Raw genomic sequence first — 23,493 nt, 5'->3', positions numbered from 1 at the left:
CTACTGAGACCCACTAATGCATTTTCCAGCTCCAGCATTTGATTTTTTTCTCTTACTTCAGTAATCTTGTTAAATTTCTTATATATTTCTGAATTGTTTCTCTGTGTTTTCTTGAAGTTCATTGAGCTTTCTCAAAATAGCTATTCTGAATTCCCTGAGAGGTTACACATCTCCATCTCTCCAGGGTTTGTCACTGAGTGCCTTACTTGGTCCATTTGTTGAGGTCATATTGGCTTCAATGTTATTGATACTGTTGATGTTTGTCAATATCTGGGCATTGAAGGATAAGGTATTTATTCCAGCCTTTGCAGTCAGGTCTTGTTTCTACCTGTCCTTCAGAGGACCTTCCAGGAATTCAAAGTGGGCTGACGAGTTCCCTAAGCCAGTGATCACTGCAGCCATTTTTGTACTACAGGGCACCCTAGGCCCAGGTACACTGCAATTCTTACAGATTGTTAGGTCTCCAGCCCTGTGGACTTGGGAAAGATCAGGGATTATTCTCTGCATTCCCAGGTAAAGCCCCTAGCTTACTTTCCTTTCTTTCCCCCAAGCAAAAGGAATCTCTCTTCAGGCTGCACTGCCTGGAGTGTGGGGAGGTGTGATACAGGCATTTCCATAGCTGCTGCAGCTGCTGCCGTCATACTGGCTCACACCACAAGTCCAGGGTGTTCCAGACCTATGCAGCATCAGGGCTTGCCCAAGGACTGCGGCCACTACAGCCTGCCTGCCACTGAAATTTATTTGTAGCCCAATAAATTTCCAGTGATAAAGCTGGCCAGAATTTTGGTGGGTTCTTCCTCCTGGGGTAGCTGATTCCCCTGTGGCCCAGGGTGGGTCTAAATGCTTCTTTTGTGGGCACCAGCCTGGAATCAAGTGCTGTGGGGTTCTGTCCAGTGTCATGTGTCACTATGGCAAGACTAAGTTTCAATATAAAGTCCCACATTTTCCTCTTTGTCCCCAAGCCATTAGATTCTCTCTCAGAGAATTTCCTGTGGTTGGGGGAGAGGTGTCATAGGCAATGCAAGACTGTCCTTCCTCCCTTCTTCAATGCATCTTTTCTTGTTATCATGTTAAAACCAGGTGCTATGATCTCTCACCTGGTTAGCCCTCGTGAGAGTGTTTTCTTGCATAGATAGTTGTTCAATTTGATGTTCCTTCAGGGAGACCATTGCTGGAGAATTCTATTCTACCATCTTACTCCACCTTTTACCTGTTTATTTTTTAAATGTTTCTAGTAAATAATTGTGAAGTGATACGTTTATTTTAATCTTGGGGATCAAAAGCATGTAGCTAAGAACTTTTCCCAAGGAATATTTTAAAATTTTTATATCAATGTTTATGGAATGACATACTTTTTGATTCAAGGTTCTTAAATGTAGTTTTAGTTTTGATTCAATGTTATAGAACACTGTTTTTTTAAACTGTTATCTGCAGCCCACATGTAATGGAATCACCTGGGGTGCTTATATTAAAAAAATGCAGATTCTAGGGCTCACACCAACTAAATCTCCTGGGATTGGAGACCAGGAGGTAGTTCCTATAATCTCCACAGCTGCTTCTAAGGTACACCAAGTTTAAGAACCATTCTTTCATATTTTCAGACTGGGGATTCTTACAAAATGACAAAGAAGGAAAACCTTAATCTTTTAAAGTTAGAGTTCAAGCATTAGACTGTGCACTTCTTAAACACAGTTTGTCTTTCCCATTTTCTCTTTCCAGTTCTTTATACTGTCAAGGAATTGGGGCAGAAATGGGAAACAAAGCAGTGAAAGAAAAACTATTTATTTCTTTATACACATCTTGCTTTAATAATCACCAAAAAGACTTTCATTTTCTGTCACCCACCCTGTCCACCAGTTATGTTGGCCTTCAATATATGGCGATAGCAACATAAATAAATCTGTATCATACATCTATACACACAAGCACATTCTATCAAAACTGTGAAGACACAGACTAGGCTTTACTATGGCTGGGGGCCTCTCCCATGCCACTTAAAAATGAGCACAGGTTTGCTCTATGCAAGAATTTCAACAGAATTGGTCTGGCCATCAGTCCCCAATTTCCCCGAGGTAAGATAGGACGACAAAATGGGACAAGATATTTGAAGTGAGGTCAGTCCAATTTGGATATCATAGAAGAAAAGAAATAGGATGTGCTAGGTTAAGCCTGAGATGGTATCTGGGAAGTCACCACATTCATGATGTGAACTCAAAGAACGCAGGTGCTACAGTGCAGACCAAAACCCAGCCTGACTTGACCCAACAGGGTCAGGTGTGGATCTGTGAGTAGTGCTCACTGAGCCCCCACGAGCAGTGTCTGGCAGGGCACCGCTGCTCCGTAGTGTGCTTTTAGAACCTGCCAGAGGAGCTCCAGCAATAGGACCACGTGCCCCATTCATCAGAATCAGGGTCCTATATTCACTGAGTTTTCCATCTCAGGACAGCTGATGAGGCAAGAAATGTGCTCTTGCTAGTTCCCAAGCTGCTGGGGCTGTTGAGAGGCAGGATCACAAAACCTTCTGTGCAAACTACGCATCTTTTTCTTAGTGCTGGGCCAAGTGGACCTTGGCTAATCGTATTCCATAGCTGTCAGAAAGGCTTTCTGCCTTTCTGCCAGCTCCACCAGGATACAACTCTGACTCCCTCTTCTGGACCCTCCAGTGGACTTGGAGGAATGAGGCCCAGATGCTCCTCAGCAGATAGGTAGCTGCACAAAAGGGGGACAGGCCAACCTTTCCTGCTGTTTTAAGGACTTCCGGTGGCTGCGCTTCTTGCATGGTTCCTGGAAGGCAAGGGTCACAAGGCTGGAGTACATGGCAGAGCCCTTAGGGATTTCACCTGCAGACAAACATAAAACAAACCAAATCAGTGTATATTGCCAGGCCCTACTGATGGCTACCCGAAGCTGGAGTGAGAACTATGGGGTGACCAAAGCCAGGAGCACAGTGAGAGCCAGTTAAGAGGATGAGCTAAGAGCATGCACTGCAGTCTGGAGAAGCAACAGGTGCCCGAGGTTAGGGGGAGCCTCCCCACCTCCCTGTGTCCTGAGATCCCTGCTCCAATTCACTGCACACTGGGTGGCTGGATCCTACCACTCCCTCTTCAGGGGCCAAGTGACTCTCCAAATCACTTTGTCTCAGCAGAAAGGGGCCTTTGTCATCTCCACCCAAGAAAGAAGTGCTTAGCATGAAACATGCACATATAGAAGCAGCCTGTTGTAGGAAGAAGAGGACACTCTGCAGGGAAGTCCTCTGTTAAGTTTATGTCCAGTCGCCATAATGAGGATGTGGAGGGGCCAAGTCCACAGGGACCTCAGAGCTCAACTAAGTCCAGTTCCATCTTTGACAGGTGAGGGTGCAGCAGTCTCACAGAGACTAAGGGACAAGCCAAAGCCACACACCAGTTAGTGATAAGCCAGGGATTAGGACCGAGGCCTCTGGTCCTTTCCAGTGATCTGTGGGAGGTGGAGGGGAAAGCTTCCACACTGGAGAAAACCAGTGGATACTAGAAACATTTGGGTTACCTTTCAGTGGATACTAGAGACTTTTTGGATTACCTTTTCTGGGACAGGAATAAGGCTTTACAGAGGCAATCCTGTAAGTGCTGCTCTAAAGAGGCTCAGGAAAGAGAAGAATTATCAGAGAAAAACAAAACGGAATTAGTTTAGAAAAAAAAAAGTGCAAGTTAAACTGGCCCAAGTCATTTTCACACTATGGAGATCAACATTCTCTCAGGTTATGGTTTAGAAACATTTCTAGGAATATGCTCAATTGCTTATGGCAAAGCTTTGAAGTCCACGTTAAAAGGTTTAGTTTCTGATTTTTAAACCATTTCATATACCTCAAGTTTTTCTTCAAAGCAATTCCTAGGGAATGATTAAACACTTAGTGTTTTAAGTAAATGTAGATAATGTCTGATATATATATAACATTTTTCCCCTGAAGGTTCAGTTGTTATTTATTAACAAATTCTCTTTTAGACAAATGAGACCCAACAGATCTCTTTTGTCGTGTTACTTAAAGAAATATCAAAATCAAATTGCTGTTCTTAACCCAGGAGTGTGCAGTGAAATCAGTTTATTAGGTTGCAAATTGCTTTTACTTTTTCATGAAGAGTAGAACACATAACTGGCCTCAAGATCCCTCTACCAAAAGCTCATTCAGAGGCAGACTCCCAAATGTCTAATGACTTCCAGAGTGAGCTGAATTGCATTTCTCCAGTCTCCTGACCTGGCATCAACGAAGAAAAATTGGAGTAAAAAGGAGAGATGAGGACAATGTGAGAGTGAACCAAGATACAGGGGCAGGAGCTGATGGGGTGGGAGGGTGATGGGAACAGAAACTAGCAGGAAGCCCACTGAGGACCTGTGATCTTACAAGTGGACTGGAAATCTTCTCCTGGAAGGCGAAAGCAGGCCAAGCGTCACCTACAAGATCTGCTAACAGATGGTGATGGGTTGGGGACAGGCTTGGTGCCTCTGACTGGTGCAGTAGTTTCCTTAACTCTAGGTTAGTCCTTGCCTTCTTTAAAACATCATGTGTTCTGGTTACTGAAACAACAAAAGAGCACCACAGAGTAGAAATCATCAGCAGAAATTAACCCTACTTGCTTAGCATGAGAATGCTAAAGCATTTATTTCTCTCTGGCCATTCAGCTTGGAGTTTCCTGCTATCCACCCCCTGTCCTCCCCTCCCTCTGCATCCACAACTGCTCGGGGCACAGGAGGTTTGGGGACATCAAATCAGCCTCAACTCCCAACATCCCCAAGCCCCCCAGTCACTGCTCATCAGCAGCACAAGTGGGGCATCGGGAAGACTGCCCGTTTCTTCCCCCATTCCCTCTCAGGGAACCTACGCTGGCTGACGATGAACTGCTCCATGCTCTCTTTCTGCTGGTTGGCGATCTTCAGATGCTCAGCTGTGCTCTGAAGGAGCCACTCCTGTTTGGATACTTTGGTTCTCAGTTCTAGAAGTTCCCTTTCTGTCGATTCTCTCTGGATAAGAGGAACAGACTCTTACTGACCAGGCAGAAGACATAAAGCACCCTGTGCTTTGTGGCTCTTTCCAGTTCAAAGGATTCTACAATCTTCTCAACCCTCCTGAACTGGATTTCCTCCTTCACAGCCTTGAATACCTCCAGCTGAGGACAGTTTAGGATGAGGCCATTAGGCAGGAATAATGAGACTCTGGAATTCCCCATGCAGACTAGCACAGGCCTACACACCTGTAGCTTAAGAGAACCTCGCCTCAGGCTGGTATCAAACTCCCAACTCTGAAGAGGACCTTGCTTTAGTCCTGATATCAGTTCTGTCACTCTCCCTTCACAGGTAAGATTGAGAGTTCAGAAGTGTTATGCTGGGGAGAGAGATCTGGACTCAGGAAAGTTTGCAAGTTTGTAAATATTTGTGCCAACATGAAGATGGCACAACACCCTCTCCCTGGAATTAGCATAGTTGGATCCAAAAGGTATTGGTGCCATTGACCTGGAAGTAGAATCCCTGGGGAGGGGATCCTGAAACCTGCCTACATGAGGGTCTGCCAATCAGAGTTAGCCTGAGCTCTGAGCAGATCCTGAGGGGAGGCTGACTTTCCCCAGGCCTGGTCCAGCAATGCCAGCTTAAGTTGTATGTTGGGATTCCAGGCAGTGGCTAAAAAGGCTCAGTCTCATGGGGGCATTCTGTGATCATTTGACCACGGGACCTGTGGGGTGGGAGATGTGCTAAAGCTTTAACTGAATTTCAGCTCATCCAAACTTCAGAGAGGTAAAGAAACTGAACATTTATGGATTGCCAGGGTTATGATGTCTCCGCCTTCTCCACACTCCTTCCTCCTCTTCTTTGATTTCTTATCCAGGGGTCAGGGGGCTGGTGGGGAATGGGATGTATTTAGAGCTGCAATGAAAGCAGCCACCAAGGGTCAGAGATGTCCCTCCAGGGACACTCCTCTAAGTTCCTGTCTATCCCAATTCACTGTGTGGCTCCTGATTTTCTGGAAAAGCTGTGACACTGAGGAGACAGAACAGTATTGGAGGGCAGGAGAACTGGGTTTGAACCAAGAAAGGACACTGGCGTCTTACCACTTTGCCAGGCAGCACAGGGATGTGGGTGCTTGGCAGGGCCACTCTCCAGAACATGGTGAGGAGGGAAGCCGACTCCTCTAGGGCATGGTGCAGGGCACTGGTGCTGCTCCAAAGCTCATGAATGCCTTTGCTGCCTAGCACCTGGGGAAAGGTAACACCACAGGAGCGGAGAGATTACTTTTTTCCCCCTGCGTGGGCTCAAGCTTCCTTTGTGAGTGAGGTGCAGAACATGGGCCTGCTTGAACCTGTGAAGCCCTCGCACAACCATTTGCAGCTCTCAGAACTAAGGTGCTGCTCCTTTTACCAGGAATGCCTTCCTCCACCTGCAGAACCCACAAGGCTTTCAAAACTCACCCCCCTTGCTATGTCCTCTATGAATCTGTTACCTTCCTTGCCTGAGATAAATGACCACATTTGCATTGGTGCTCTCACAGCACAGAGGATGATTTCTCATACTGCGCCTGTAGCCCCGTACTGTGCTTATCTACTTGGGTGTGTGTCTTGCATTCCAGTGTGGGGGCTCCATGGAGGCAGGGCTGTCCCTATGCATCCATGGGTCTCCAGCAGCTCAGACAGCATAGCCACAGGTTCCTGGTCTCTCTCACTGGCAAGGTGCTCTCAGAAGCTTCGCTGACTGCCTTCCCTCCCCTATGCAGTCTGCACAAGGAAATGCCTTGGCTGCCAGGCTTCTCACCCCTTCCACATGTGGGGGCCATACACCTGCAAATCCTTCAGTTTCTGTCCATCCCATTGAGTTGACTCTGCCCACATATGGTCATGTGCCTGCATGACTGTGGTAGATAATAAGCTACCAAAGGCTGCTAGGCAATGCCACCTGTTTCTGTGGGGCTGAGGGGAAATATCCAGTCAGCTACATCTGGAACAGAGCAGAACTCACAGTGAAAATAGGAGATAGAGAAGAAAGGGCCTGGCTGCTATGCATGGAAGAGGAAGCCTCAGCTGTTGAGAGATGCAAAGCATGAAAAAACAAAAATGGTGGGAGAAGGAGTTAACATCAAAGGAAGAAAGGGCACAAGAAAAGAGTGCACCTAAAGCTTCAGGTGTGATTACCCCTGTGCCTTGGGCTTCAAGGCCAGGGAAGCTGCACGCTGATCTCACAAGAGACACTATCTTTTTGACCAGCAGCTTGCCCTCCACAATCTGCTGTCTTAGGGCACTGTAGTCATCAATGTGGCCAATGACATGGCGGCCATGCTTATTGGCAAAGGAGCCATCAGTAGCATCACCCTCCAGCTTGGGAGGGGCCTTCATTACTGGAGAAGTATCCAAACCCAAGCCTGAAAAAGAAAATGACAACACAACAGAATCTTCTGTTATTCATAATGATATCCTCAGTTTGCTCCAACTAAAAAAGAGGCAGGGAACAAGAAAAGGACGAGGCTGGGAACAAGAAAGGAAGCCTTGGAATGTACAAGGGTGGGGCAAAGTCCATAGAGATCTTCTGGCTTCTATATTTTTATAACCTTTCTTACATTATCTTTTAATGATAAATTTGCCAGGAGACAATTTTTTCCTTATTGGCAAATGAAATAGGATGAATCATAAATAATAAGTTTCTGGGTAGAGAAGACACAGACAGGGAAGTCAAGCTGGATACAGAGAGCATTTTCAAGAATAGAGAGATTATGGTGCAATGAAGCAAAAACAGCAGTAGGAAAACTACAGGAGGATGAACAATGGCAAGAAAGGCAGCCACAGAAGGTGCAGGGAGTAGGGCTAAAGGCCTTGGGGCATGCAGAGAAAACTCTCTAAATACAGATAATATGTTTAGAGACAACAAAAGGTTGTTTGCATTAATCACTTTCCAACATCAGTCCCTGGGCCCTTTAGTTGCCATATTTACCATGTGTTCTGTTGATTATGGCCGTTTCTGAGCCAGGAGTAGAGGAAGCAGAGCTGGGGAGGACCAGAGCTGGGGAATTCATACCAACATCCCGGACTGGAGGGGACACAGCTGAATCTAGGGGGTAAAGGCAACCACAGTTTTCAGGAGCCCTGGAACACACTGCACATGAAGCACATGCACACCTAGCCGTCCCCACTGAGACCTAAGGTGGCAGGACTCTCCTCTTACAGAATTATCCATACCCCACAAGCAAAAGCAAAAGCCCATGAGTCACTGAGTTCAGAATGTTTCCATTCTTCAGAACAAAAAGATATTCCTTTAAAGGAGGGGTGTTCCAGGAGAATGTAACTTCTAGTTTGAAAAATTATTAGGTGTATTTTTATAAACCAAGTCTTGAGTATAATTTGTGTGTGGTATCTAATACGATGCCCCGTAACTAAATGTAATATGTATAAATATACATAGTACATATTAAAATCTAGAATCAAGGGATCAAGGAATGAATGGATTCATGGGGGACTAAACTCAACATTCTAGTCATCATTCTGATGAGGTAATACTGAAAGAAATTGACTTGTATGAGAAGAACGGAGAGAGAGGGCTTGGTGGGTTAACATCTTGCTGGAGACTAAAAAGCAACCCTATGGTGGAGGAATTGGAAAATATCACAAAGAAGGTAGAAAAGGTCCTACTCAGGCAAGTGTGGCCCAGTGCCTGCTTTCCAGCTCAGGCCTCAGGGGTGCTAGAGAAAGATGGGCAGGGACTGCACCAGTGGGGCTGAGTCTTGGCTGCTGTGTGGGAAGCCAGAGAGAGAGGAAGGCCTGGTTAGAAAGAAGGAAGAGTTGGAGACATCACTGAACACCACAACCATCAGGGCAGCCCAGAGAAGGGCAAGGCATCCACCTAATGTAAGCTGAAAACAGCATAATCATGTTATTGTCACCTTCATTTGACAAATAAGGTTACTGTCAGATAAATGAGCATCTACAAGAACCAGAGAAAAATAAAGATTAACATGACCCAGAAATAGCTGGCAGGAGAGTTTGAAAGCTCAGCTTTAGAGAAACTGAACAGAAGTGGTTCCTGATTTGAATAAAATTGAAGGTATGGCCATGGAGGTGAGTGGAGATGGTGTACTAAACGGTGTATCAAAAGGAGAAAAGGACAGAGGAAGTAGAAATTGAATGATTTAAGAGACTAGGGGGACACCATTGACATTTCAATGAAAACTGGGAGAAGTGAGATTGATGGGGGATATTGAGAAGAGAAGGGGGACCTGGTCAAACACGCCTATCTGAAAAGGCAGGCAAGGGGTGGGGTAGAGAAAGCGAATGATGACCGCCCGAAATAAATCACCCACCATCCAGGACTTCCCCAGAGCCCTGTTTCCTTAGGGGCAGGAACATTTTGCCACACAGTTGAGTTCCCCACCTGTGAGGGAAAGGGGGACTAGAGAATCTGGGAAGGTCGGCAATACTGAGACAGGGCACAATGAGCTGGAAGGAACACAGACTGAAAATCACAACATCTGGTTCTGATCCTGGCTTTGTCTATAACTTCTCTAAAGCCTCGCTTGTCTGTTAATATCTCAGGACCTAAATTTTCTCATGTGAAATACAGAGATAGCAAAACCTGCTTTACTTCAGGTGAAATTATATATGTGAAAACACTTGGCTAAAACTAAAGCACCAAGCAAATCCAAGAAAAAGATATGAACATATACAGCTGCTAATTATTGAGCAATTCTTAGTGTGCCAAGCACTTGTAAATGATCTCATTTAATGGTCAAAATCATATAAGGTATATATTATTATTATCCTCATCTTAAATGTAAGGAAACTAAGGCTTAAACCTCTGAGACTTTAAACACCTTGCCCAAATCAAACGACCTCTAAGCGGTAAACTCAGAATCTGGAGCCCAGTCTGACCTAAATCCCACGCTTTCACTCAGGCTGCTAGACTAGAGCATCTCTGATTTCAACCTGACCATAAGGAGCATGGACCAGGCAGACATCCTGGTGATCTCCCCACTGGCCAAGGGCTTTCTAAGTCCCTTTTCCTTCCTACCTTGGAGGAGCAGCTGCTTGTTTCCAGGGTCAGCGCTGGCTGGGAAGTTCTGGTTAACAGAGGAGGGGCTGAGGCTGGCTTTGCCAGCAGGCTATCCAGCTGCTGTTGCAGCTGCAGTCACAGACAATTGTTCCCCTGAATGCTCTTCTCCAGCTGCCCTCTCAGACCTCATACCTCTGCCACCAGGTGGCTCAAGTCACTGCTCAAAGGGATTTGGTGACAGACATCCAGGCTGTAAGCTAAGAGAGAAGAGGAGTCTGGTAACATTGACCCAAGTATTTCCAAGCACTTGTCAGAACCCTCCTCTGTGACATTCTTTTCTGCCAAGGACCCCACTATCATCTGAGTCTCATGCAACCCATCTGTGATGGAGATGTCACCATTTCTGTGTGTGGCCGGGGGATGGCACTGAGATGGCACACATCCAGTCTGAAACTTCCTTGCGGTTTAAGTTACACACATGCACCTATAGAGCATTTGATTGGCAGATAAGGATAAGTCCATATTTCATCTCCATAGTAACCTTAGTCCTGTAGGCTAAAGTATAGGGTCCTCCAAGGTAGAACGTCAGTACTGAGCTAGAGAAGGGTAGGGGATGAGGGAGAAAGAGATTTCACAGTCTTCACTCTCAAAAATGAAAGAGGAGAAGGAGGAGGCCTTTTGGTAGCATGTGAGAATGCGAGTTGGGCACATTAGACCAGGGATTATAACTGAGTTTTTCAATTTCTCTCTCTCTCTCTCTCATATATATATATATATATATATATATATATATATATATATATATATATATGTGTGTGTGTGTGTGTGTGTGTGTATGTGTGTGTACATATATATACACCTACATATAGTGTGTATATATATGTTGTGTGTGTATATACATACTATATATAGGTGTATACATGTACATATATACATGTACATATATATACACACATATATACAGATACATATATATACAAATATATATATGTACATATATTTACCTCCATTCACCACATGTAGTCTATTTCTTTGTACTGGGGATGAAGAGATCTAAGAAATATTCTACAAGGCTACAATCCCTTATCTGAAAACCTTAAGGCCAAATGTATTTCGAAAGGTAAAATTTGTTTTAGTTTTTAGCAAGGCAACAGGGTGCATATATCATATATAACATGTACCCAGTTGCAGGTGAACCACAATCCTTAATCAAACATATAACTATTTCTGCAATGAGCTATGTGAATATCCTAAGTAGATAAATAAAGACTTATGAATATCCTCATGTCAGATCATCTAGATTTTGTCACTAAATGAGTATTTGAAAAATTTAGTTTGGAGATCGTATTGAATTTTGAAATTACAGATAAGGGATTATGGAGCTTTAGTGGTTGTAGCTTTGAAATGAGTCCTAAAAGGCAGGGAGAAAAGCATGAAAGGAAAGGGAGCTCAGGATGAAGTCGTTTCAGAGACTTTGGTAAGTAATCTACTCTTGAATTTTGCCCGAAGTTTTATGATGTTCCTCTCTCTCTTTCTCAATCCAAGTTCTCACTAAATTTTGCTTATTTTTTTAAGAGACATTTTAAAATCTATCTATACCCTTTCATCTTCCCAACAGCACCTTATATTAGACTGTCATCTCTTAATGTGTCACAATATCACTAGACCCACCCAATAGGTTTCCCAGATTCTAATGTCTCCCAATTCCAGGACATCCCCTGAGACTTAGCATCCTAAAGTTCTGTTTTCATCATATGCTTATCTTCTTTGAAAAAGAATAGACTTAGTTTCATTATCTACTCTACAGAATGTCAACTTTCACCCTGACCTGTGAGCTTTCACGGTTTGGTGGCTCTACTCCACCATCCTGACTTCTCACTCCCCCAACCCCAAGCTTCTCCTGTGGTCAGGCTGGTCCCACTGACCCAACACTCACCATGACTGTGTACTTAAGCTATTCTCCCAGCCTGGTGAGCCCCCTCTATTTCTTCAAGTTCCAGTTCACCTTCTCTTTAGAAAATCAGGAAACTAAATCAGGATTTATGATAATTCCAATCTAAATTCCACTGCCCTTCACGCATTGTTTAGCCCCCTGGAGGGACATAAAATACATGAGTTCTTTTTCACCTGACACTTCTTCAAATATCCGAAGCCAGTTCTCATGTCCTCAAGATCTTTTGAAAGCCTACATTTCTTTAGTTTCTTTGACCAGTTGGAGATTTCTGGTCCACACCATTGTGCGCCCTGTCTTCATTATGTTCCCTAGTGTGTCAATGCCCTTTTCAAAGATAGTGCCCCTTAATCTAACAATATTTTAGACCATGGTCTCCACAGGTGAACATCACACTTACACTACTGTAGTGTCAGTTTGAGCTGGCATTTCTAGCAACCTCTGGCCTATGACTTACTTGTGTGATCATGTTTCTACCAAACCCCATACTCTCAAGTCCACGAATGGCCGCCTGTCCTATATTTCTACCCTCATCCTATATTTCTACCACTGATATTTTTAATCGAGCTCAGGATTTTGCTTTTTATCTTTGCTAAATTTCATGACATTGATGTCAGTCCTCTGTCCCAGCCTGCTGTGACTTATTCACATTATGTTTTGAATACCCTTCTCCATTTAAAGAATGAAGAAATATATCAAATTCTCAAATATTAGATTATTATTTCAGCAGGCAACAAAGTCTTCAATAAATGTCCTTAATATTTAAATCCAGGATTGAAATTTAGGTCCTATCAGTGGTATTTCTATAAGGGTTTTTTGTTTTCGTGTCTTTTAATTTTCTCCTGTGGGCAGGCTGGTCCCCACTGACTCAACACTCACCATGACTTTGTACTTAAGCTATTCGCTCAGCCTGGTAAGCCCCTGTATTTCTTCAAATTCCAGTTCACCTTCTCTTTAGAAAATCAGGAAACTAAATCAGGATTTATGAAAATTACATGAGAGGGCAATAAGCTGAGCGCCAGATGTCACTAGGGAAAGGGTCAGGGTGGGAGCGGACTGCCTGCTGCATTGGGCTGAATGGGTTGTCAGTATGTATCACCGACAATATTAAAGGCCTTTTCAAATGATGATATCATTAGGACAGTTCTTTTGCTTTCAAAAATGTTATAATTTAGACATTGATAGGAATGTCTAGATTTTCTTAAAATAATTAGGAATGATCAGGCCGGATCTTGTTCGTGTCACCAACCTGTCACCTTGGGCTTTGTGTATGAGAGTTCTTATTGGGAGCCCCAGGCTCGGGTGGGAGTTTCTGAGACAGAACTCTGTAGCTTCCCATGATCTCCACAACTCCCAAAGGAAAGACCTCACTAGCATCCTATGCAAGGGCAAAAAGCTCATGGGGTGAGGGGAGAAGAACACATACCTTTCAGCCCCTTCTTGGAATTGCCATAAAGTGCCTCATAGATTTGTAACTCTGACTGGAGGGACTCAAAGAGCTGCTGTTTCTCTTCACACTGTTGCTGCAGGAGAACCAGCTTGTGCTTCAGTCTGACCAGGGAGAGGCAAGGCCCACTGAGATGGCAGAGCCACTCAGCCACACCAGAGCAACAGGCTGAGAGCCAGATGTCAACTCAGAGGGTCATAAAGGGTTACGGTTAGGGTTACCTCTGAGCCCCAGATGTCAACTCAGGGGGTCAGGAAGATCATCACTTTTATTTCACAGATGTGGAAATGGTGGCTGAGGGAGGTCAAGTAACTTTGCTTGAAAACACACCATTACCTACATTAGTTCAGAGCAGAACAGACACACCAGCACAGTCTCCTTACTGCTCCTACAGTGCTCTTTGCATCCTGACAAGCAGTTACAGGGCTTATGCTGGGACCAAGCATCACAGCCAGTATAGAAGCTTCCTAGGTGATGGTGAGACTAATGTCCTATATCTAATTGGAAGCATGGGGACCCTTCTTTTTCATGTCTCTGATATACTGAAGACTTCTATAACAGAGTTTTACTCTCTCAACTTGGGAGTGACAAGGCATTCCCAGAGAAGTCCTTTCTTCTGCTCAAAGCGCCCCTCCCCCCACCCCACTGACACACAAAAATCAGGAATGGCAGAGGGAACATTGAGGTTTCCAAAAGAGGACACCAATTATCTTGCCAATATCCCTTCTTATAATGTAAGAATGAATGTAAGAATGAAGAATGCTACCTTCTCTGTCAATGGGTCCCCTCTTACCTGGAGTCGTTTTCCTGGAGGGAAAGGCGTTCCTCCCTGAAATGCAAGACCTCTTGCTGCTTCTCCCTCAAGTCTTCCAAAAGCTGCTGCCTTTCCACCTTCTGGTGCTCCAGCTCCTCTTCCAGCTCTTGAAGGTGGGATCGAGAGGACAGCAGAGCCTCCCTCAGGCTTTCCATCTCCTGGGAGTGCTCTGGTGAGAGGAACACAGGAGGATTGATTTATTTTCATGGGGCCAGAGCTCAGCAGGAAGATGACCCCAAGCACATCCGCCCTGACAAACAGAGCTAAGGAGCAGGGAAGGAAGGCCCTATGTTGGTGGGAAGAGCATGCTGGCTCAACATCCCCCGCAGCCTGGAGAAGGGTACATCTCTGTCTTTGCAAAACCCTTCATTCCACTTATTTAATCTGTCCTACCTTGCTCTTAGAGAAATTCTGGTTTCTAATGCTCACCACTTTCCAAGTGCTCACATACCATCTGTTCAATAATCTATCCTGATCGCTGTTATTTAACACGATGGCAGAATAGAAAACCAAATCCAAAACCAGCAAATTTAAGTAAACACAAATTTCTATAATACCTATGTAGATAGAATAATCCATAGCATAGTGGGCGAAATGATGATACATACCTCCAGAGCAACAGCTTTATCATGTATTCGCTGGCGAAGTTTCTCAAGCAACGTTTCATTTGCTTCAAGGGTTTTGTCTGAGTTATCTCGATACTGTAGGAGCTCCCGAAATTCCTGAGACCAAAACATCGTTTCTTTTATTCTTTTATCCAATATTAACTAAATTGCCAAGTAATTTGTTAGTTATTCAGGATAAAAAAACAAGATGTGATCACTCTCCTCAAAAGTAACAAGTTTAGCAGAGATAACAGACATAAATTGTAAAGTATTCTGCAACATACACCAGACACAACACATAGAATTAACTGTTGTGCAACATACGCTAGCCACCAGGGGAACACAGGATGCACTGCCTAACTCTGCCTGCAGGTGTCAGTAAAGACCTCACAGAGGAGGTAATATTTGCAGTGAGTCTTAATTAAAGGACTAGGATTTCCTAAGTGAAGAATGGAGAGGAGGACATGTTAGAGAAAAAAAAATATGCACACTATGCATACAATGAAAAAATTGTACATTCAGTGAAATGTAGTGGATTCAATGTGACTGAAGCTTAGAGTAGGTGGCAGAACAGATCAGTCTCTTCTTAATGCTCCATCTTCCCCTCAAACTTTCATTCTATCATCAAAATTACTCTTTGGAAGTTTCTGTACAGTTTGTCTTCATCTATTACACTGAGATCAGTAGCCAAATCTTTTGTCTTCCCAACACCCAGAAAAGTGTTTGACTCACAGAGGTGCTTAATAACTATTTTCTGAATATTAAGTCTTTATAAAAGACTTCATAAAAGACTGCATAAATCAGGGCTATATGTACTGTTTCTTACACTTGTTAGTAAGCATCTTAATTCACAAATTATATTTTCTATTTATTTTAAATCCTCCTGATTCCCACCTCTCAATGTTTTCCATATAGCAGGGACTCAGCACAGGTGGATTAATATCTTAAAATTATATAAACAAATTTCAGAGTTCTATGAGCCCAGTGTTCATTGAAATCATGTAAACTCACCTGAAGCAACTGCTCCTTGTGACTCAGACTATGGTTTAGGTGCTGGACGTTTTGTTCCTGGGTTCGAATCTCATTGTATTTTTCAGCCTCCCAGGCACGAAGCTGTTGGCTCTTATTCTGCAATTCTTGTAGCTGCTGCAAGGCTTTTCGCAATTCCTGAATTAAACATATTACCTTTTTAAAGAGATCAAAATTGTCACATGATTATCAGAAATGACAACCAGACTTGTAAAGCACTTAAAAGCCATCACTCCCACTCTCACCAGAAAAAAGCTGAACAAACCGAACATCAATAACTACTTATATGCAACAGAAAATGGAGGTCCTAAGACATGCCAACCCTATGAAACCTGGAGCCATGGGCAAATACAGAGAATCACAACTTACCTGGATCAGAAACCACCACTGGAGCCAGCATTGGGTAGACATACTTCAAAGGGAGTTGGCTAATTGCTGGAGCTGACAGCAGCCTAGCCTGAGAGGTAAAAACTCCTGGGGGCCTAACTAGTGGGAGCCTCCCATACCTTCATGAGTTTTGTCTCCAGAAGACTTAGGGTGAGAATCAGAGAAAACTCCTTGAGTGCTTCTGGAGGGGAAGGAGAGGTAACTGTTGAAAAATATGCCCGGTGCATTCTGTTCTACTTAACAAACACATGCCCTCAAAAGAAAATTCTGTTTCCAGAGTCTAACCAATGTAGGGAAAGGGAAATACCCAACTCCAGTGACCTCTAGCCATCCTGTCTCACCTAAGAGGGAACAAAATTTGAGAAGCACTTTTGAAGGTCACAGCCCAGGGGCACAGGCCCACCACAAGACTGAGACCTAATCATAGGATTATGGAACACTTCCCTCCCCTACTCCTTACCACTGTATCAATAGTCATATACATACATATACACACACACACAGTATATATAAATACACACACACTATACACACACACATATATATAGTAAGAGAGAGAGATTTATTACATTTGATCCTCCATATCTGTAGGTTCTGCATCCATGGATTCAACCAGGCCTGACTCCAAAATATTTTTTGAAAACTTATTATTGTGTTTGCACTGTACATATATGGACTTTTTTCTTTGTCATTATTCCCTAAACAATACCACATAACAACTATTTACATAGCATACGGGAGGATGTGAGTAGGTTATCTGTAAACTCTACGTCATTTTGAGAGGTGACAGCGTTCTGGCAGTCCTCACAGCCCTCGCTCGCTCTCGGCGCCTCCTCTGCCTGGGCTCCCACTTTGGCGGCACTTGAGGAGCCCTTCAGCCCACCGCTGCACTGTGGGAGCCCCTTTCTGGGCTGGCCAAGGCCGGAGCCGGCTCCCTCAGCTTGCAAGGAGGTGTGGAGGGAGAGGCGCGAGCGGGAACCCGGGCTGCGCCCGGCGCTTGCAGACCAGCCGGAGTTCAGGGTGGGCGTGGGCTTGGCGGGCCCCGCACTCGGAGCAGTGAGGGCAATGAGGGGCTTAGCACCCGGGCCAGCGGCTGAGGAGGGTGTACTGGGTCCCCCAGCAGTGCCAGCCCACCGGCGCTGTGCTCGATTTCTCGCGGGGCCTTAGCTGCCTTCCCGCGGGGCGGGGCTCGGGACCTGCAGCCCGCCATGCCTGAGCCTCCCGCCCCCTCCGTGGGCTCCTGTGCGGCCGGGGCCTCCCCGATGAGCGCCGCCCCCTGCTCCACGGCGCCGCCCACCGGTTTTTCTGCCACTTTTGCAAGGGCGAGGTCAGCCCCAAACTACCGGTAAGAGCGCTGTGTTCTCTATACTTGGGAACCTCATAGATTCCTGGCCCCGATTTCCCGGAACTGGGTCTGGAGCTTTCTGCACATCATTGACTCCCCGGACATCGGTCTGCCGAATACCTGCTGCCCACTTCTAAGCCGCCGGCCCTAAACCCTGGGCATCACGGCCTCGGCCCCGTACCTCCTGCCCACCTCTTAATTCATCCTGGGCTGCTCCACCTGACCTCACCTCTTCACCTCCCGTGTCCTTAATTTTTTTTTTTTCTTAGCAAGTTTCCCTCTGATAACTCTCCCCTCAATTTTCTTGCATTCTTTTATACCTGGTCTTTTTCCTACGATGACCTCCCCCCACACTTCTTCCACTGTGTCTTCTCACCTTCCTCTGTGTTCTTTTCCACTTTTCACCCCCCACCGCCCCCGCCACCTCCCTTGTCAGTGAAGCGAAATAGCGGATTGCTGAGGATTGTCACTCTTCGGTTTTTTCTAGGGAAGGAAGCACAGAAAGGGGGTTGGAAGGTATCTGTGGGGCGAAAAGGGGGATTTTGCTCTTCAGTGGTTTCCAGGGTCCTTGTGACAGTGAAGACAGCAGCGTACTAATGACTTGCAGACGGTCTGCACTCCTATCGCTGTTGAAGGAAATGGCTTTAGGAAGAAGGCAGGACGTACTGTTTCAACTTCGTTTATTTTGGTTGTCATGCTGCCAGTGTCTTTAATATCATTGTTCCGCCCCCCGCCCTGTCCCTTTCTTCACCTAAGAAAAAGAGCCGGGACAGAATGTTGGGGATGCTTCCTCTGACGTGAAATTGGTTTTCACGAGTTTCTGCCAGAGTGTTAGCCCCTTGAGAGGCAGTGCTGTGGTTGGGAAGAAAACACTTTTGTAGGTCAGGCGCGGTGGCTTAGGTCTGTAATCCCAGTGCTTTGGGAGGACGAGGCAGGAGGATTGCTTGAGGCCAGGAGTTTGAGACCAGCCTGGGCAACAGAGTGAGACCCCTCTCTACAAAAACAAACAACATTTATGCAGCATACTAGCCAGCACCAGCATCACAAACCCAGAAGCTGTTTTGGGTTGGCTTGTAGCTACTACGAGGAGCTCCCCCAGGGTGAATGTCAATCCTGTCCTTGGCCAACTGTCTTTATGGTTGTTCCTTTCCTTACAAGTGTCCAGGTTCAGTCTTGTGATAGAGTGGCAACATAATGTATGTTTCTATTTATGGTGTCTCAGATACAGTGTAGGAGAAAACCTTCTGAAGTGAGTCTGTATATCTTATTTCTTAGAAACACAAATGGAGTCCAGTGAATAAGTGCTTAAAGGGTGTTTTATAGTCTTCTCTCACTCAAAAGTTTTGTTTAAGGCATTATGATACATTCTTTCCTCTCTACTTGCCGCACCCCCTACTTCAGAGTCATAGTTTCATCTAAATGCTACTTAGCTGTTTTTCTTTTTTCTTTTTTTTTTTTTTGAGACAGCCTCTGTCTATCACCCAGGAGCATGATTTCGGCTGACTGCAACCTCCACCTGCTGGGTTCAAGAGAGTCTCCTGCCTCGGCCTCCGGGTAGCTGGGACTATAGGTGCACGACCACCGCACCCTGGCTAATTTTTGTGTTTTTAGTAGAGATGCAGTTTCACCATGTTGGCCAGGCTGGTCTCAAACTCTTGACCTCAAGTGATCCACCCGACTCGGGCTCCCAGAGTGCTGGGATTACAGGCGTGAGCCACTGCTCCCCGCCTAAATGCTACTTAGTTTTGTTTGCTGATTTTGCTGTGTGTTTATGTTTTTTTTTTTTTTGGCCATATTTCAGTGCTGGGAAGAGCAGGTGTCTAGTTTTTTTCCAGCCAACATCAGAGCCTGCAGAACTCTTTTACCATAGAGAGGGAGTCTGGAATTCAGCCAGTATGTGTGTGACCAGTGGTGTGTTGTTGAATGTGATGCCTTGTTGAATATTCCATCCTTAGCTTTTTTGATCTTTAAGTTGCTGTTCACTATTTTGCCTTTAAGAGTGAGAAGTTGGCCAGGCGTGGTGGCTCAGGCCTGTAATCCCAATACTTTGGGAGTCCAAGGCAGGCAGATCGCTTGAGCTCAGGAGTTCGAGACTAGCCTGGGCAACATGGAGAAACCCCGTCTCTACCAAAAAATAAAAAAATTTGCCGTGTGTGTGGTGGCATGCACCTGTAGTCCCAGCTATTCAGGAGGCTGAGGTAGGAGGATTGCCTGACCCCAGGAAGCAGAGGTTGCAGTGAGCTGAGATCGCACCATTGCACTCCAGCCTGGGCAATAGAGCCAGACCCTGTCTCAAAAAAAAAAAAAAAAAAAAAAAAAAAAAAAAAAAGAGTGAGAAGACAGTCTAAACTTCCCCAATTGATTATATCTTTTCTTCTCACCTTTAAGTCCTTACTTCAAAGGGATAATTTGAAAGGCTGAATAGGTGTTTTTCTAAGCCTTAGTTAATGCCTGGAGAAGTTTCTTGATCTTTTTGGTGTGATATATTATTTGTCATGTCTGATTTGTAAATTGAGGCCTAACACAATTGAGTATAACCGGATTCTTCCTAAATATATCCAAGGTTCTCTGCTGAGTGTCCTGGAGGTGATAGGGAGTGATATGTGGCTCCTGCCCTTAAGGATCTTACAGCTTTTGGGGAAAGACAAGGCAAACATAGAAAAAGTAACAGCATAAAGGGAATGAGGATATGTGCTTTAGGATTCAGAGAGGGGAATTTCATAGCATTGGTGTGGCCAGTGGGATTTAAATTGAGTTTTGAGGGATGGGTACATTTCAGATTGAGAATTCCAAAGACTGTGAGGTAGCAAAAGGAAGAGGGAGTTGATGAAGAAGGGAGAAATATTTAATAAATCATGTTTTTTTCACAACTAAAAGTTGTATACTATATTTTTTATAGTGTTCAGCATGATTTGATATATGTATACACTGAATGGTTAAATCAAGCTATTTAACATGCATTACCTCACATACTTATTTTTGCGTGGTGAGAACACTTAAAATCTGTCTTAGCAATTTTCAAATATACAGTATATTCCCTTTTATTTTTTTTTGAGACTGAGTCTCGCTCTGTCACCAGGCTGGAGTGCAGTGGTGCGATCTCGGTTCACTACATCCTCCACCTCCTGGGTTCAAGCAATCCTCGTGCCTCGGCCTCCCAAGTAGTGGGGACTACAGGCACGTGCCACCATGCCCAGCTAAATTTTGTATTTTTAGTAGAGACGGGGTTTCACCATGTTGGCCAGGATGGTCTCCATCTCGACCTTGTGATATGCCCACCTTGGCCTCCCAAAGTGGTGGGATTACAGGTGTGAGCCACCGCACCCGGCCTCTTTTTTTCTTTTTAAATAGAGACAGAATTTATTCTGTCTTGTTGCCCAGGCTGTTCTTGAATTTGTGGGCTCAATGTGTCCTCCCACTATATCCTCCTGAGTAGTAGTAGATAGGTGCGTTCCACCATGCCTGGCTAATTTTTTTTTTCTTTTTTGTAGAGATGGGATTTTGCCATGTTGCCCCGGCTGGTCTCAAATTTCTGGGCTTAAGCAATCTGCCTGCCTCAGCCTCCCAAAGTGCTGGGGTTACAGGCATGAGCTATTGCGGCTGGCCTGATATGTGGTATTTGTTTTTAATTCTGTTTATGTGATGAATCACATTTATTGATTTGCCTATGTTGAACTAACCTTGCATCCCAGGAGTAAAGACTACTTGATTGTGGTAGATTAGCTTTTAATTTTTATTTATTTATTTTTTTGAGACGGAGTCTTGCTCTTTAGCCCAGGCTGGAGTGCAGTGGAACGAGCTCAGCTCACTGCAACCTCTGCCTCCTGGGTTCAAGCGATTCTCGTGCCTCAGCCTCCCAGATACCTGGGATTACAGGTTTGCACCACTAGACCTGTCTAATTTTTGTATTTTTGGTAGAGATGGGGTTTCCCCGTGTTGGCCGGGTTGGCTTTGAAATCCTGACCTCAAGTGATCTGCCTGCCTTGGCCCCACAAAGTGCTGAGATTACAGGTGTGAGCCACCACACTGGCCTGCATTAGCTTTTTAATGTGCTGCTGGTTCAGTTTGTTAGTATTTTATTTAGAATTTTTGTGTCTGTGTTCATTAGGGATATTGGCCCGGGGTTTTCTTTTTTCATTGTGTCTTTGCCAGGTTTTGGTATCAGAATGCTGCTGGCCTCATGGAATGGGTTAGGGAAGAGTCCCTCTTCGATTTTTTGGAATAATTTCAGTAGGATTGGTACTAGCTCTTCTTCGTGTCTGGTGGGGTTTGGCTGTGAGTCCATCTGGTCCAGGGCCTTTTCTGATTGGTAAGTTTTTTATTTTTCATTATTTTTTGAGACAGGGTCTCACTGTGTCACCCATACTGGAGTTCAGTGGCATGATCACGGCTCACTGCAGCCTCGACTTCCCAGACTCAGGTGATCCTCCCACCTTAGCCTCCTGAGTAGCTGGACCTACGGGTATGTGCTACCACACCTGGCTGTTTTTTTTTTTTTTTTTTTTTTTTGAGAGATAAGGTTTCGTCATGTTGCCCAGGCTGGTCTTGAACTCCTAGGCTCAAGCGATCCGCCTGCCTTTGCCTCCCAAAGTGCTGGGATTGTAGGCATGAGCCATGGCCCTGGCCAGGTTTTTTATTACTGATTCAATTTTGGAACTCGTCATTGGTCTGTTCAGAATTTCAGTTTCTTCCTGGTTCAGTCTTGTGAGGTTGTATGTTTCCAGGAATTTATCTGGAATTTTAGGTTTTCTAGTTTGTGTGCATAAAGGTGTTTGTAATAGTCTCTGAGGGTTCTTTGTATTTCTGTGGGATTGGTGGTAATGTCAGTTTTGTCATTTCTGATGGTGTTTATTTAGATCGTCTCTCTTTTTTTCTTTATTAATCTAGCTAGTGGTCTATCAATTTTATTTTTTGAAAGAACCAACTTTTGGTTTCGTTTATCATTTATTTGTATGGATTTTCACATCTCAATTTCATTCAGTTCAGCACTGATTTTGGTTATTTCTTCTGCTGGCTTTGGGGTTGGTTTGTTCTTGTTTTTCTAGTTTCTCTAGGTGTGATGTTAGGTTGTTAATTTGAGATCTTTCTAGCTTTTTGATGGAAGTGTTTAGTGCTATAAACTTTCCTCTTAATACTGCTTTAACTGTATCCTAGTGATTCTGGTATGCTGTATCTTTGTTTTCATTAGTTTCAAAGAACTTTCTGATTTCTCCCTTAATTTCATTTTTTACTGAAAAGTCATTCAGGAACAAGTTGTCTCATTTCCATGTAATTGTATAGTTTTGAGAGACCTTTTTAGTATTGATTTCTATTTTAATTGCACTATAATCCGAGAGTGTGGTTGGTATGATTTTGGTTTTTTTGCCTACGCACTTCTCAAAAGAAGACATATATGCAGCCCAATAAGCATATGAAAAAATGCTCAGGATTACTAATCGTCAGAGAAATGCAAACCAAAACCACAGCGAGATACCATCTCACACCAGTCAGAATAGCTATTATTAGAAAGTCAAAGAATAACAGTTGTTGGCAAGGTTGTGGAGAAAAGGGAATGCCTATACACTGCCGGTGAGAATGTAAATTAGTTCAGCCACTGTGGAAGGCAGTTTGATTTCCCAGAGAACTTAAAACGGAACTACCATTCTGCCCAGCAATCCATTACTGGGTATATACCCAGAGGAATATAAATCGTTTTACCAAAAAGACACATGCACTTGTATGTTTATTGTGGCACTATTCACAAGAGCAAAGACATGGAATCAACCTAGATGCCCATCAGTGGTGGACTTAATAAAGAAAATGTGGTACATATACATCATGGGATACTATACAGCTATTTAAAAAAAACAAAACCGAAATCATGTCCTTTGCAGCAACATGGATGCAGCTGGAGGTCATTATCCTAAGTGAATTAAAGCA

General features: G+C 44.3%; 1 pseudogene across 1 annotated transcript in view, besides 1 other annotated feature; it reads right to left on the bottom strand.

The window, feature by feature from the left end:
* Positions 1 to 1,800: 1,800 nt before the first annotated feature.
* Positions 1,801 to 23,493, bottom strand: part of PDE4DIPP1 (PDE4DIP pseudogene 1) — a 45,476-nt pseudogene continuing 23,783 nt past the window's right edge. Inside the window, exons 2-8 of the transcript NR_146087.1 lie at positions 15,825 to 15,998; positions 14,817 to 14,930; positions 14,188 to 14,377; positions 6,078 to 6,221; positions 4,857 to 4,995; positions 4,379 to 4,551; positions 1,801 to 2,840 (exon numbers count right to left, since the gene is read on the bottom strand). The product of NR_146087.1 is annotated as a PDE4DIP pseudogene 1 (transcript). The remainder of the gene's footprint in view (positions 2,841 to 4,378; positions 4,552 to 4,856; positions 4,996 to 6,077; positions 6,222 to 14,187; positions 14,378 to 14,816; positions 14,931 to 15,824; positions 15,999 to 23,493) is intronic.
* Positions 16,614 to 17,114: an enhancer, noted in NCBI's record as "H3K4me1 hESC enhancer chr1:146009957-146010457 (GRCh37/hg19 assembly coordinates)". NCBI's record gives its function as "activates a minimal SCP1, AML or CMV promoter by ChIP-STARR-seq in naive H9 embryonic stem cells {active_cell/tissue: H9 hESC(naive)}" and the evidence as "EXISTENCE:reporter gene assay evidence [ECO:0000049][PMID:30033119]".

Source organism: Homo sapiens, chromosome 1 (genome assembly GCF_000001405.40).
Source record: "Homo sapiens chromosome 1, GRCh38.p14 Primary Assembly".
In the NCBI taxonomy this organism is placed as follows: domain Eukaryota; kingdom Metazoa; phylum Chordata; class Mammalia; order Primates; family Hominidae; genus Homo; species Homo sapiens.
The sequence above is the reverse complement of the archived record's forward strand: the minus strand, read 5'-3'. Positions and strand labels throughout refer to the sequence as shown.